We start from the raw sequence: 16,847 nt of genomic DNA on the forward strand, positions 1-16,847 counted from the left end.
GTAAAATGTATTTATTTATGTAAATATATATTTATAGATATATAAAATGTATATTTTTTATTACTGAGCTACACACACACACACACACACACACACTGTGTCAAACCTAGCAAATTGTATCTTTAAGAAATCCCATAGGATAACTATGAATGCAGGCTGATTACATTTTTTTAAAAATATGACTATTTTTTTAAAAAAATTACCCTAGAAATAATTATCTCTGCTTGTTCCCTTTTTTGGCTTAACTTTCATGTGTCCATACCCTTGCAAGCTGTTAGTGCAGTGCTGACAGCTGGTCTCTGACTCTGGCTTGCCTTCTTGATTTTGCCCTGCCTTCTCCAACTGGTCCTCGTGTTTATCTTCTATCCCAACACACTCCTGGCCGACTCCTCTTCTTGAGTTACCGGTATTTTGTGGCCAGCGCATCAGGATAATTTTAGCAAAGGCAGAAAAGGAAAGAGTTGTGCGATTTTTTTATTCTTCCTAATCTCTCTTTCTGGAGAAATGAATCTGGGAAAAGAAAGGGGAAGTCCAATAGGAAAGGCCAGCATAGATTGCTGTGCTTCTGAAAAGAGAGAGGATTATACAGACGGCTGGCCTGGACTGAGTAGTTGACCCCCAAGGGGACCACCACAAGGGGCCCACAGCTCTCTCCCTGGGATTGCTCCCCACTTCACCCATGCTACTTATGGTGGTAGATGGAGTTGAAGGGATCCACTTAGGAGCTCTGGGGCCCTGGTGGATCCTATTCCATAACAGGACACTGCATCAGCCCAGACCTGAAATGCCTGGACACATTAATAGCTTCTTTACAATTTTTTTTTTTTTTTGGTGGGGAAGGGGGTGGTGATCCATAGCAATTCTTGGTTGATTGATTACTTCTGATTTCAAGTAAGTTATTATTAACTTTCTGGCTCATACACAAGTTGACTGCTGTATCCTTTGTACCAATAACTTTATCAGAACAACAGCTGAATATATTGTTATTCTCATCTCTATAATCATTCCCCTCTTCAAAGTAGGTATCATGGCTAATAACATTAATAGTAGCAAAATAGATGGCACTTTCACTGGTCAGGAGCTGTTGTAAGTCGTTTACAAATATTAACTCATGTAATACTCATGATAACCCTGAGAAAGTTACTCTAGTCATTCTTATTTAACAGATGAGAAAACTAAGCAGAGACAGGTTGAATAACTTTCCAATCTCTCTCCACTTACCACAAGTGGAGCTGGAAGTCAGACTGAGATAGTCGGACTCTAAAGTCTAAGTTTTCAATCATTAAATTATTTGTCTTTATACAATCATCAATGCCTAACACAAAGTGTTAAGTAAATGAGTGCTTAAGAAAAATCTGAGTAAATTGTTCTAACTGAGGATATTAAAACTGGGATCTGTAGCAAGTGCTTTAACATAGTAAAGTATTTTCTTTGGTATACTGTCAACCTATATTGGAAAACTGAGCCTTCAAGAGGTAAGCCCTAACCCCTTGGGTAGAGCTAGGGTTGAAAGCCATCTGCTGATTCCATATCCAGGGCTCTGCTTACTATTCTGCCAAGTGATCCTTCTCTCAGGCCTTCTTGGAAGAGTAACCCAGACAACTGCAGGATCCCTTGGTCTTCCTGTGGCTCAGGCCTGCTCTCTGAGGCCCTCACACAGCAGATTGACCAAAGGCCTCATTCTAGCTCATTTTGTGTAAAAAGGGATAAGTGCAGAAGGAGGCCTGGGGCACCATGGAACCACAGTGTCCAAGGGTCCTCACTGTGGTCCTAACTAAGCTTCATCCAATGGCTTGACTTTCAAATCAAAAGTGAGAAAGTCTAGGTTCTGTTCCTTCCCCATCAGTAATCCTGTGCTCTTGAATCATTCCCATTCTGAGTAAGAGCAGTCAGGGTGAAAAATCAGGACTGGCTCTCAGCCTCCAATCCCATTTTCCAACAACTGGAAACTCTCCTATTTGGGTCCCTCAGGAAGGCTTGAGCTTCTGGGAATCCACCTGAAGACCACCAAGGTAGTTGTTCATTGCAAATGACCCCTGTTTTGCCTTTTGGATTCAATGACCAACAAAAGTCACAATGCCTCAAATTAAGATACAACTTTTTAAAAATGTAAATTTAATTACACAGTTGAGGGTCTTCAGATAAATCAGGGAGAGTTTTGGTTTACAAATAAAGGCACAAGAATTTTGCTTTATGAATAAAGTCACAAGACTTATGGTTCACAAGTAATAAGCTACCACTTTTCATGATTTTTGCCAAGTCATATCACTTGACTACTCCCACTTTGTCAGTGAAACTAAAACCCTCTGCTTCTCACATGGCTTTAATGAGATGAGGTAATGCATTTAGTGGGCATTAATTTTTTTGCCCTTTCATACAAGCTTAGATTTCCCGCTTCCCCTCTTCATTATTTATTCTCAATCACCTTTAGTAAAATACTTTATTTCTTTTTTCATCCTGTTCTCCCTAGGAAACAAGAAAAGGTCAATTCACCATCTTTGTAAGAAAGAGAAAAAATAGCTTTGGGAGATTTTACGAGGTGGCTTTCTAATCCAGGCACAGGGCTCCAGTCTGAGTCTTTGTTTAGAAAAGAGTTTTTCACAAGATGTTTTTCCACAGATAGCACTTTGGTGGCTTTACAGGCTTCTGTGGGGAGACGGTCATCTGTGGTGGCTCTTCCAGCCAAGCATTACATTTTTGTTCTTCCCAGTGATTTCAGGGAAGGAGACTCGGCTTATAGCTCAATGTTGACTGTTATCAGCTCCTTACAGTATACCACATGCAGTCTAGTAATTCAAAACGGTAAATTATTTGTTAATTATTGAAGGTTAATTGTAGAAGACCTAGAAAGCATGTAAGTAGAAAAGTTGGTCTCCAAAATCTACCACCCAGGAGATTCCCTGTTGTGATGTTGATGATTTAAGAAAACATTACACGTGCACATTACACCTTTCCCAGCCCAGGTGTCCCTCAGCAGGAGACTGGATAAACTGTGGTGCATTTAAACACTGGAGTAGGATTCAGCAGTACAAAGGAATGAGCCACCTATACACAAACAATATGGACGAAGCTCAAAAAATAATGCTGAGTGAAAAAAGCTTTACATGCCGAGTACACATTTTATGAGTCCACTCATATGCAGTTCTAGCGCAGGTAAATCTTGTCGATGATAGAAAAACTGGAAGAATGTCTGCTGTGGCAGGACAAGGCAGAAAGTGAGAAATAGGCAATGAAACTTTCTAGGTGATTGTAACATTCTATATCTTGACAGGGATTTGCGTTACACAGGTGTATGCATTTGTCAAAATTCATTTAATGATACACTTAGGTTTTGTGTATTTCATTTATGTGAATTTTACCTAGAAAAGTATAAAAAAATTGATATCAGTTAATCATATGCAAACTATTTAGATGGAAGTAAACTGATATCTGCAGGTTATTTTGAAATGCATTACGCAAAAGATGGATTGATGGATGGACAAAGATAGATGGACAGATCTGTGATAAAGCAAGTATAGTGAGAGTTTAATTAAAGAATCTAGGTGTAATTACATGGGTGTTTTCTGTGCAATTCATTCAATTTTTCTGAGGGCTTAAATGTTTTTCATATTCAACTGTCAGTAAGAAAAAGAACACAACATGTTTCTATGTCAAATATGCTCCCACAACATTTTAAAGGACATAAAATCAACAACACCTAAAGAATGGAATACAATACCATCACTGTTAAACATGTAGGTTTTTTTAAAGTTTATAGTACATCTTACACTTAGCTGTTTAGACACTTGACTTATTAGATCCTTAGGATAAATTCCTACCAACATCAATGTTGACTCAATAAAGAATTACAGATTTGGTTCCTATTGCACTGTTTTCCTCCTGAAGATATGGGACAGTTTTCTCACTTACTAAAGAAAAGACATCTACTTCCTCATATTTCCATAAAGATTGAGTTTTGTTCTTTTTGTCATCTTTGCTAATCAGTTTGATATTTTTAATGGAATACCCTTATCATTTATTATTTAGATTAATCCCTGAGGTTTTCAGCAACAAGAGAAAAAGACTTAAAAAAAAGAGGAGAGAATTTTCAATGCCCAGTGTTTGAACCTCAGAACCCATCTGAATTTCAAAGATCGAAACCATGACAGATCTCCATCCTATTTTCATGATTTGAAATGCAATCAGTACAGTCATCCATTGGTATCTGCAGGGTATTGGTTCCAGGACCCCCACATGTATCAAAATCTGTGGATGCTGACAATCTGCAGAGAGATCGTCTAACTGAAAGCAAAAATCAGTTCTATCTAGTATTTTCTCTGAGACTATTCCATGAATGTATATGTGATATAAGTTTGTGGGAGGCACTTACCCTTCATGCTATGATATCACTATGCTTTGAAAATTGTAATTTGGGAGTTGCAGATGCTAGCACTTTGGGGTTATTAGCAAGCTGTATAAAAACCCAATGAATGCCAAGCTTGGATCACTCATATCTGAATGATGATTAAAAACTCATACAATTCCTGCACCAATTCAATGTGCCAGAGGAGGCAGCACACAAACAAAACACTCACTTGGCTCCTGTTCTCCTCCAGCTCATTGTGGTGTAGATTACAGTCCTGTTTTATCCCTTTCTCTGGCTCTTTCAGCAACAGATAAAACCACTGAAGCCACTCAGCAGACAAACACACCAGCTCACGAGCCCAGAGGACAATTTTCCTTTCCCAGCAGCAGCACATGGTCCTTCCCTGGGCTTTCCAGATGACCTTTATAGCAGCAGCTGACTTCTTGAATGGTTTGTATTTTGATGGGCTATCTAAGCAAAATAACAAAGCAGTATTGCCTTGTCTAAGAGCCTGAGATTCAGATTTTAGATCCATCTTGCATTTGGTTTGATTTGAAAATGAGATTTTTAGAAGACAAAAGCAAATGTGTGTATGTATTCCTCATCAAGGTTTAAACCATTGGTGAGCACCAGGTGCATTTTACAATTTCCAAAAATGATATTAAGTGTTAAACAAGTTTTAGACAGTATTCCAATATTAGGTTCTAAAAGGGTCAGCCAATTTCATCCGCTTGAAAATCACGTTATCTGATTCTCTATAAAAGTTGATACTAACGGTTGATTTCCTGTTGAAATTTCACTTTTCTCTCTGATTTCCTCGACATTGCACTTTCTAGTTTCCATCTACCTGCCTGAACATCTCTTTTCTGTCTTGACTGGCTTATTTCATTTATCCTCAACTCTAGAAATACTTGTTATTCAAACTTCAGGCTTCAGCTTTGTATTCTATCTTGACTTTCTCCTATAAAATTAGGAGCCAAAATCAGTTCCAAACTTTTTGGATGGGTTCCTAAAAGTGGAATTAAATTTAAAATTCTTATAATATGTATATAAATTGGTACAACTTGTTTGGAAGACAATTTTCATTTCTGCCAGCTGCAGAGAAAAACAATTTCCCTCTGTACTTGCCAAGCAAGACCCTTCCATGCTCAGAGCTGGATAGATCAACTGATGAAAAAGGGTCTCATCCAACCCTTAGCCAGTCATATGGATCATCGTGTTCTTTTTCTATTTTTAAAATTAAAATCGTTATTTTTTTTTCTTATTTATCTCTAATCATTTCCTTTTTTTTTTTTGAGATGGAGTTTTGCTGTGTTGCCCAGGCTAGAGTACAATGGCATGATCTTGGCTCACTGCAACCTCTGCCTCCCAGGTTCAAGCAATTCTCCTGCCTCAGCCTCCCGAGTAGCTGGGACTACAAGCATGCGCCACCACACCCAGCTAATTTTTGTATTTTTGGTAGAGACGGGGTTTCACCATGTTGGCCAGGCTGGTCTCGAACCAGTGACCTCAGGTGATCCACCCACCTCGGCCTCTCAAATTGCTGGGATTACAGGCATGAACCAGCGTGCCCAGCCAACCATTTTCTTTACATTAAAAATAGCCCATTGCTCAATATAAATATTACAAATCTTTTTCCAGCTTTATTTACATTTTAATTTTCAATGTGTTTTTCTTCATTGTGAAGAGCATTTAATGTAGTCATCTCATTTTCTATGAACTAAAGAATGAGCACAGAGCTGTGATGGTTAAGAAACTTGGTGAGAGCGGTGAAGGCATAAATTAATTATCGTATCAGAAGAAAGAGCTAAATGGAGAAATGTGAAAAAATTGCAGACACAATATCTATTGACCATCATTTCAGTGTATCAATTTTCTTTATCTGTTCTCATCTACTATTTAATTTATCCATCAATGTTTTATTTCAATTCCTGTATTTTTTGAGTTTTGAATTATTAATTCTTTCATCTGTTGTATAGACCGAATCCTCCTCATAGTGCTTTGTTTGCAAATATGAACATTTAATGTGCTCAACTGAGTGTCTATTTTTATTTAACTTTTATTTTAGGTTCAGAGGTACATGTGAAGGTTTGTTACCTAGGTAAACTTATGTCACGAGAGTTTGCTGTACAGATTACTAAATCATCCAGGTATGAAGCCCAGTACCCAATAGTTATCTTTTCTGCTCTTCTCCCTCCTCCCAATCTCCACCCTTAAGTAGACCCCAGTTTCTATTATTCCCTTCTTTGTGTTCATAAGTTCTCGTCACTTAGCTCCCACTTATACTTGAAAATATGTGGTATTTGGTTTTCACTTCCTGGGTTAGTCTGCTGAGGATAAGAATCTCCAGCTCCATCCATAATTCTGCAAAAGATATAATCTTGTTTTTTATGACTGTGTGGTATTCCATGGTGGATGTGAACTACATTTTCCTTATCCAATCTGTTACTGATGATGAGCATTTAGGTTGATTTTATGTCTTTGCTATTGTGAATAGTGCTGCAATGAACATTCACATACATGTGTCTTTATGGTAGAATGTTTTATATTCCTCTGGGTATATACCCAGTTATGGGATTGCTGGGTAGAATGGCAGTTCTGCTTTTAGCTCTTTGGGGAATTGCCATGCTGCTTTCCACAATGATTGTAATAATTTATACTCCCACCAACAGTGTATAAATGTTCCCTTTTCTCAACAACCTCACCAGCATCTGTTATTTATTTACTTTTAACAATAACCATTCTGACTGGAGTGAGATGGTATCTCACTGTGGTTTTGATATGCATTTCTCTAATGATCAGTTATATTGAGCTTTTTTCATATGCTTATTGGCATCATGTATTTCTTTCAAAAAACGTCTGTTGGCCGGGGCAGTGGCTCATGCCTGTAATCCCAGCTACTCGGGAGGCTGAGGCAGGAGAATCGCTTGAGCTCGGGAGGCAGAGGTTGCAGTGAGCCAAGATTGCACCACTGCACTCCAGCTTGGGCAACAAGAGCAAAACTCCATCTCAAAAAAAAAAAAAAAAGTGTCTATTCACGTCCTTTGCCCACATTTTAATGTGGTTGTTTGGTTTTCTCTTGTAAATTTAGGTTCCTTAAAAATGCTGGGTATTAGACCTTTGTCAAATGCAGAATTTGCAAATATTTTCTCCCATTCTGTATCTTGTCTGTTTGCTCTGTTGACAGTGTCTTTCTGTTGCTGTGCAGAAGCTCTTAAGTTTAATTAGATCCCGTTTGTCGACTTTTGCTTTAGTTGCAGTTGCTTTTGTTATCTTTGTCTTCAAATCTTTGTTCATTCCTATGTCTAGGATAGTATTATTTAGATTGCCTTCCAGAGTTTTTATAGTTTTCAGTTTTATATTTAAGTCTTTAATCCATCTTAAGTTGATTTTTGTATATAGTATAAGGCAGGGGTCCAGATTCAGTCTTCTGCATATGGCTAGCCGGTTATCTCAGCACCATTTATTGAACAGGGAGTCTTTTCCCCATTGCTCGTTTTTGTCAGCTTTTTCAAAGATCAGGTGGTCATAGGTGTACAGCCTTATTTCTGGCTCTGTATTCTGTTTCATTGGTCTATGTGCCTATTTTTGTACCAGTACCATGTTATTTTGGTTGCTATAGCCCTGTAATGTAGCTTGAAGTGGGTAATATGATGCCTTCAGCTTTGCTCTTTTTGTTTAGGATTGCCTTGGCTATTTGGGCTCTTTCTTGGTTTCATATGAATTTTTTAATTTTTTTTCTGGTTCTGTGAAGAATGTCATTGGTAGTACGATAGGAATATAATTGAATCTGTAAATTGCTTGGAGCCTTATGGCCATTTTAATGATGTTGATTCTTTCTATCCATGAACATGGGGTGTTTTTCTATTTGTTTGTGTTATCTCTGATTTCTTTGAGCAGTGTTTTGTGATTCTCAATGTAGAAACCTTTCACCTTCCTGATTAGCTGTATTTCTAGGTATTTTATTCTTTTGTGGCAATTGTGAATGGGATCTAATTTCTGATTTGGCTCTCAGCTTGGCTGTTGTTGGTGTATAGGAACGTTAGTGATTTTTGTACATTGATTTTGTATCCCGAAACTTTGCTGAAGTTTATCAGATGAAGGAGCTTTTAGACTGAGACTATGGGGTTTTCTAGATATAGAATCATGTTGACTGCAAACAGAGATAGCTTGACTTCCTCTCTTCCTATTTGGATGCCCTTTATTTCTTTCTCTTACCTGACTGCTCTGGCTGGGACTTCCAATACTATTTTGAATAGGAGTGGTGAGAGAGGGCCTCCTTGACTTGTGCCAGATTTCAAGGGGAATGCTTCCAGATTTTGCCCATTCAGTATAAAGTTGGCTGCGGGTTTGTCACAGATGGCTCTTATTATTTTGAGATATACTCGTTCAATACCTAGTTTATTGAGAGTTTTTCAATGAATTGATGTTGAATTTTATTGAAAGCCTTTTCTGCATTATTGAGATAATCATGTGGGTTTTGTCTTTAGTTCTGTTTATGTGATTAATCACACTTATATATTTGTGTATGTTGAACCAACTTTGGATCCCAGGGATGAAGCCTCCTTGATTGTGGTGAATTAGCTTTTTGATGTGCTAATTTGATGGTTTGGGTTTGCAAGTATTTTATTGAGGGTTTTCCCATGTATGTTCATTAAGGATATTGACCTATAGTTTTCCTTTTTTTGTTGTGTCTCTGCCAGGTTTTGGTATCAGAATGATGATGGCCTCACAGAATGAGTTGGGGAGGAGTCCCTTCTCTTCAATTTTTTGGAATAGTTTCTGTAGGAATGGTAGTAGCTCTCTTTTGTACATCTGGTAGAATTTAGCTGTTAATCCATCAGGTACTGGACATTTTTTGGTTGGTAGGCTATTTACTACTGATTCAATTTCAGAGCTCATTATTGGTCTGTTCAGGAAATCAGTTTTTTTCTGGTTCAGTCTTGGGACAGAGTATGTGTTCAGGAATGTATCCATCTCTTCTAGGTTTTCCAGTTTGTATGGATAGAAGTGTTCATAGTAGTTTCTGATGGTTATTTTTATTTCTGTAAGATCAGTAGTAATATTGCCTTCATCTTACTAATTGTGTTTATTTGGATTCTTTCTCTTCTTCATTAGTCTAGCTAGAGGCCTATCTATCCTATTAATTTTTTTCAAAAAACCAACTCCTGGATTCATTAGTCTTTTGAATGGTTTTTGTGTCTCAATCTCCTTCAGTTCAGCTCTGATTTTGGTTACTTCTTGTCGTCTGATAGTTTTGGGGTTGATTTGTTGTGGCTTCTCCAATTCTTTCAGCTGTGATGGTAGGTTGTCAATTTGAGATCTTTCTAACTTTTTGATGTGGGCATTTAGTGCTATGAATTTCCTTGTTAACACTGCCTTAGTTGTGTCCCAGAGCTTCTGGTATGCTGTATCTTTCCTCTCATTAGTTTCAAAGAACATCTTGATGTTTGCCTTAATTTCATTATTTACCCAAAAGCCATTCAGGAGCATGTTGCTTCCATGTAATTGCATAGTTTTTAGTGGTTTTCTTAGTCTTAACTTCTATTTTTATTGCACTATGCTCCAAGAGTGTGTTTGGTATGATTTCAGTTATTTTGCATTTGAGGAAGATTGTTTTATGTCCAATTATGTGGTCAATTTTAGAGAATGTGCCATGTGGCAATGATAACAATGTATATTCTGTTGTTTTGGTGTGAAGATTTCTGTAGAGTTCCATCAGATCTATTTGGTTCAATATTGAGTTCTGGTCCTGAATATCTTTGCTACTTTTCTGCCTCAATGATCTGATACTGTTAATGGAGTGTTGATATCTCCCAGTGTTATTGAGCGGGAGTCATGTCTCTTTGTAGGTCTCTAAAAACTTGTTTTATGAATTTGGGTGCTCCTGTGTTTGGTGCATATATATTTAGGATTGTTAGGTCTTCTTGTTGAATTTAACCCTTTACCATTATGTAATGCTCTTCTTTGTCTTATTTTTAATCTTTGTTGGTTTATAGTCTGTTTTGTGTGAAATTAGGATTGGATTGAAACCCCTGCTTTTTTCTGTTTTCCATTTGCTTGGTATATTTTCCTACATCCCTTCATTTCGAGCCCGTATATGTCATTACATGTGAGATGAATCTCTTGAAAACAGCATACCATTGGATCTTGCTTTTTATCTAGCTTGCCACTCTGTGCCTTTTACATGGGGGCATTTAGCCCATTTACATTCAAGGTTAGTAGTTAGTGTTGATATGTGTTGTTATTGTGTTGTTAGCTGGTTATTATGTTGGCTTGTTTGTGTGGTTGCTTTATAGTGACACTGGTCTGTGTGTTTTAATGTGGGGGTTTTTATTAGCTGGTAGTGGTCTTTCATTTCTATATTTAGTGCTCCTTTCAAAATCTCTTGTAACGTAGGTCTGGTGGTAAACTTCAGCATTTGCTTGGCTGAAAAGGATCTTATTTTTCCTTTACTTAGAAAGCTTAGTTTGCTGAATATGAAATTTTTGGTTGACTTTTTTTTTTTTTAAGAATGTTGAACATAGACTCCCAATCTCTTTTAGCTTGTAGGATTTTAGCTGAGAGGTCCACTGGTAGCCCGGTGGTGTTTCCTTTGTAACTGACCTGCCTTTCCTCTCTAGCTGCCTTTAACATTCTTTCTTTCATTTCGGCCTTGGAAAATCTGATGATTATGTGTCTTGGGGATGAACTTCTTGTGTAGAATCTTGTAAGAATCATCTGTATTTCCTGAGAACAATCCTTCTTAAAGTTTTATAAGAATCTGAAAAGGAGGGACTACTTATATACTCATTCTATGAGACCAGCATTATCCTAATACCAACATCAGAAAAAGATGATACTAGGAAAGAAAACTACATACCAATATCTTTTACAAAAATTGACACATAAATCTTCAACAAAATACTAGTCAACTAAATTCCACAACATCTTAAAAATAATATAAATGATGCCCAAGTAAAATTTATTCTGGGAATGTAAGGATGGTTCATATATTAAAAAATCAATTAATATAATACACCACATTAACAGAATAAAAGACAAAAACTACATAATTATTTCAATTGAAAAAAATATTTGACAATATTCAACATACTTTATAATAAAAACTAGGAATAAATAAAAACAAACTAGAAATAAAAGGAAATTACCTCAATATAATAAAAGCCACACATGACAAACCCACAGAAAACACCATATTGAGTAGTAAAAGACTAAAAGCTTTTCCTTTAAGATCAGGAACAAACCAAGGATGCTTCCTTTCACCACTTCTATTCAACATCATACTAGAAGTCCTAGTCAGAGCAATTAAGCAAGCAATGAAGTAAATGTTATCAAAATTGAAAAAGAAGTAAAGTACCTTTGTTCACAGATGATATGAACTCATATGTAGAAACATTAAAGATTCCACACAAAAATCTCTTAGAACTAATAAATGAATTAAGCAAAGTGGTAGGATACAAATTTAACACAGAGATCAGTTGCAGTACTATGTAATAACAAAGAACAATCTGAAAAGGAAATTTGAGACAACTCCATTTATTATAGCCTTAAAAAAGCTTATGAATTTACTTAATGACAGAGGCAAAAACTTGTACAATGAAAACTAGAAAACACTTCCAAAAGGATTTAAAGATGAAAAATCAATGGAAATATGCACCGTGTTCATGGACTGGAAGTTTTTTTTGTTTGTTTTTTGTTTTTTTTTTTTACAGGGTCCCACTCTGTCTCCCAGGCTGGAGTACAGTGGCACGATCTCGGCTCACTGCAATGTCCACCTTCCCAGATTCAAGCAATTCTTCTGCCACAGCCTCCGAAGTAGCTGGGGCTACAGTTGTGCACCACCATGCCCCACTAATTTTTGTATTTTTAGTAGAGATGGGGTTTCAACATATTGGCCAGGCTGGTCTCGAACTCCTGACCTTGTGATCCACCTGCCTCCCAAAGTGCTGGGATTACAGGCAAGGGCTGGAAGTTTTAATAATATTAAGATGTCAATAATACTCAATGCAATCTGTAGATTAAATATAATCATCCCAACAATAAATTTTTGCAAAAATAGAAACATTTATTCTAAAAGTTATAAGAAATCTCAAAGACCCTTAATAGCCCAAACAATATTTTCATTTGTTTATTTTTGAGACAGGTCTCACTTTGTCACCTAGGCTGGAGTGCAGTGGTGCAATCTCAGCTCAATGCAGCCTTGACCTCCTGGGGTCACGCAAACCCCCATCTCAGACTTCCAGGTAGCTGGGACTTCAGGCACGCACCACTATGCCCAGCTAATTTTTTGTAGAGAAGAGGTCTCACTATGTTGCCCAGACTGGTCTTGAGCTCCTGGGCTCAAGCATTCTGCCTGCCTCAGCCTCCCAAAGTGCTGGGATTACAGGTGTGAGGCACCCCACCTAGCCAGCCCAAACAATCTTAAAAATGAAGAAGATATCTGAAGGACTCACACTTACTGATTTCAAAACTTAATTTCAAAAGCTGCAGTAATAAAAACTGTGATACTGGCATAAAGACAGCAGACACATTAACGAATAAACTAGAACAGAGAGCTCAGAAGTAATCCCTTGCATATATGAAAATAGGATTTCATTTTGACAAGGGTGCCAAGATCACCAATGAAGAAAGAAAAGTCTTTTCAAAAAATTGTAGTGAGAAAACTGGATATCCACCTACAAAAGAATGAACTCAAACCCTTATCTAACATAAAATTAAAAATTAACTCAAAATGGATAAGACTAATCATTAAAGCTAAAACTATAAAACTCTCAAAAGGAAACAGGAAAAAAGCTTCACAACATTGTATTTGGCAATAATTGCTCAGATATGATACCAAAGGTACAAGCAACAAACAAAAAAATACACAAATTGAACTTCATGAAAACTAAAAGTTTTCAAGCATCAAAATGCATTATAAACAGAGTGAAAAAGCATCCTATGCAATGGGAGAAAATACTTGCAAATCATATGTCTGATAAAAGATTAGTATCCAGAATATACAGATGACTCCTGTAACTCAACAACAAAAACACAACCTGATTAAAAATGGGCAAAGAACCTACAAAAACATTTCTTCAAAGAAGATGTACAAATAGCAAATAAGCACATGAAAAAAAGTTCAACGTCACTGATCATCAGAGAGATGTAAACCCAAACTACAATGAGATACCACCTCACACACCCTAAGATAGCTACTATATATGTATATTATACATATTGTATTATTATAATGCAATAATATTACATGTATATTACATATATAATTACATGAATAACATATATTACATATGATAATATAGATGTATAATTATTACATGTAATCATGTATATAAGGATGTTACTTGTGATTATATATTATATTATAATATAATATATAATTATAATATATATTGTTTATATATGCAGAAACAGAAAATAACCGGTGTCCAGGTGTTGTCTTTGATGTGGAGAAAATACAATACTTGTGCATTGTTAGTGGGAATGTAAAATGGTACAGATTTTAGGGAAAACAGCATAGCAGTTCTTAAAAAAAATTTTTTTTAATGCCAAATGATTTCAGTTCTGGGTATAAACTCAAAAGAATTGAAAGCACATTCTTGAAGAGATATTTGTGTACTCTGTTCATAGCAGCATTATTAAAAATAGCTAAAGTATGAAAGCAACCCAAGTGTTCATCAATAGATAAGTGGATAAGCAAAATGTTATATGTACGTACAATGGAATATTATATGCCTTTAAAAAGAAGGAAATACTGACATATGCTAAAGCATAAATGAAACTTGAGGACATTATACTAAGTGAAATAAGCCAGTCACAAAAGACTAATACCATGTGATTCTACTTCTGTGAGATACCTAGCATATTAGTTTGTTCTCACACTGCTATAAAGATACTACCTGAGATTGGGTAATTTATAAACAAAAGAGGTTTAATTGACTAACAGTTCTGCATGGGTGGGGAGGCCTCAGGAATCTTACAATCTTGGCAGAAGGTGAAGGGGAAGCAAGCACCTTCTTCACAATGTGGCAGGAGAGACAGAGGGAGACCGAGGAAACACCACACTTTAAAATCATTAACTCTCATGAGAACTCCCTCACTACAAGAACAGCATGGGTGAAACTGCCCCCATGATCCAATTACCTCCACCTAATCCTAACCTCAACACATAGAGATTACAATTCGAGATGAGGTTTGAGTGGGGAACAACAACAAACCATGTCATTCCACCCCTGGCCCCTCCCAGATCTCATATCCTTTTCATATCTCAAAATGCAATCATGCCTTCCCAACAGTCCCTCAAAGTCTTAACTCATTTCAGCATTAACTTAAAAGTCTAAGTCCAAAGTCTCATCTGAGACAGGGCAAGTCCCTTCCACCTATGAGTCTGTAACGTCAAAAGCAAATTAATTACTTCCAAGATACAATAAGGGTACAGGGATTGGGTAAATGTTCCCTTTCCAAATGGGAGAAACTGGCCAAAACAAAAAGGCCACAGGCCACATGCAAGTACAAAATGCAACAGGACATTCATTAAATCTTAAAGCTCCAAAATGATCTCCTTTGACTCCATGTCTCACAACCATGGCACACTGTTGCAAGGGGTGGGTTCCCAAGGCCTTGGAGTGCCCCACCCCTGTGGCACTGCAGGTTACAGTCCCTTTGGCTGCTTTCATGGGCTGGCATTGAGTGCCTGTGGCTTTTCCAGGTGCACAATGCAAGCTGTCAATGGAGCTGCCATTCTGGGGTCTGGAAGATGGTGGCCCTCTTCTCACAGTTCCACTAGGCAGTGTCCCAGTGGGGACTCTGTGTGGAGGCTCCAACCCCACATTCCCCTTTCGCAGTGTCCTAGCAGAAGTTCTCCATGAAGGCTCCGGCCCTGCAGCAGACTTCTGCCTGGACATTTAGGCATTTCCATACATCCTCTGAAATCTAGGCAGAGGTTCCCAATGCTCAACTCTTGTCTTCTGCATATCTGCAGGCCCAACATTACATGGAAGCCACCAAGGCTTGGAGCTAGCACCTTCTGAAGCAACACCTTGAGTCTTACATTGGTCCCTTTTAGCCATGCCTGGAGCTGGAACAGCTGGGACACAAGGTACCAAGTCCTGAGGCGGCTGTGCAGAGCAGCAGGATCCTGGGCCCAACCCATGGAACCATTTTTCCCTCGTAGGTCTCTGGGCCTGTGATGGGAGGGGCTGCCGCAAAGATTTCTCACGTGCCCTGGAGACATTTTCCCCATTGTCTTGGCTATTAACATTTGGCTTCTCATTACTTATGCAAATTTCTGAACCTGCTTACATTCCTCCCCAGAAAATGCATTTTTCTTTTCTGCCACGTGGTCAGGATGCAAATTTTTCAAACCTTTATGCTCTACTTCCCTTTTAAACATAAGTTCCAATTTCAAACCATCTTTGCAAATGCATATAACTGACTGCCTTTAGAATAAGCCAGGATACCTCTTGGATGCTTCGTTGCTTAGAAATTTCTTCCACCAGATACCCTAATTACTCTTCCTTAAGTTCAAAGTTCAACAGATCTCTAGGCCAGGGGCAAAATGCCACCAGTCTCCTTGCCAAAGCATAGCATGAGTGACATTTACGCCAGTTCCCAATAAGTTCCTCATCTCCATCTGAGACCATCTCAGCCTGGACTTCATTGTCCATATTACTATCAGCATTTTGGTAAAAACCATTTAACAAATCTCTAGGAAGTTCCAAACTTTCCCACATCCTCTCATCTTCTTCTGAGCCTTCCTAACTGTTCCAACCTCTGCCCATTACCCAGTTCCAAAGTTGCCCCCATATTTTCAGGTTATCTTTATAGCTGTACACCACTATCCCAGTACCAATTTTCTATATTAGTTTGTTTTCACACTGTTATAAAGATACTACCTAAGACTGGGTAATTTATAAACAATAGAGATTTAATTGACTTACAGTTCTGCATGGCTGGGGAGGTCTCAGGAAACTTACAATCGTGGCAGAAGATGAAGGGGAAGAAAGCATCCTCTTCACAAGGCAGCAGGAGAGAGAGAGCACGAGGAAGTGCCACACTTTAAACCCATCGGCTCTCACGAAACTCCCTCACTATCATGAGAACAGACTGGGGAAAACCACCCCCATGATCCAATCACTCTCACCAAGTTCCTCCCTCAACACATGGGGATTACCATTTGAGATGAGATTTGGGTGGGGATGCAGAGCCAAACCATATCACCTAGAGTAGTCAAATACATAGAGACAGAAACTAGAATGGTGGTGGTAATGGGCTGAAGGGAGGGGAGAATGAGGAATTATTGCTTAATAGGTATAGAGTTACAGTTTTATAAGATGAAACGGTTCTGGAGATAGATGGTGGTGATGATTGTACAACATTGTGAACATATTTAATGTTATTGGACTGTTTTAAGTCCAATAAGTTTTGGACTTGCTTAAGATGGTAAATTTTACGTTATGTGAATTTTACCACAATAAAAAAAAATTGAAAAAGAAGTTCA

General features: G+C 37.7%; 2 annotated features.

Moving 5' to 3' along the window:
- Positions 240-440: a silencer, noted in NCBI's record as "peak6493 fragment used in MPRA reporter construct". NCBI's record gives its function as "represses an SCP1 promoter by STARR-seq MPRAs in K562 erythroleukemia cells {active_cell/tissue: K562}" and the evidence as "EXISTENCE:reporter gene assay evidence [ECO:0000049][PMID:32103011]".
- Positions 4,341-4,959: an enhancer, noted in NCBI's record as "OCT4-NANOG hESC enhancer chr7:38110217-38110835 (GRCh37/hg19 assembly coordinates)". NCBI's record gives its function as "activates a minimal SCP1, AML or CMV promoter by ChIP-STARR-seq in primed H9 embryonic stem cells {active_cell/tissue: H9 hESC(primed)}" and the evidence as "EXISTENCE:reporter gene assay evidence [ECO:0000049][PMID:30033119]".

The sequence above is a fragment of the Homo sapiens genome, chromosome 7 (genome assembly GCF_000001405.40).
Source record: "Homo sapiens chromosome 7, GRCh38.p14 Primary Assembly".
In the NCBI taxonomy this organism is placed as follows: Eukaryota; Metazoa; Chordata; class Mammalia; order Primates; family Hominidae; genus Homo; species Homo sapiens.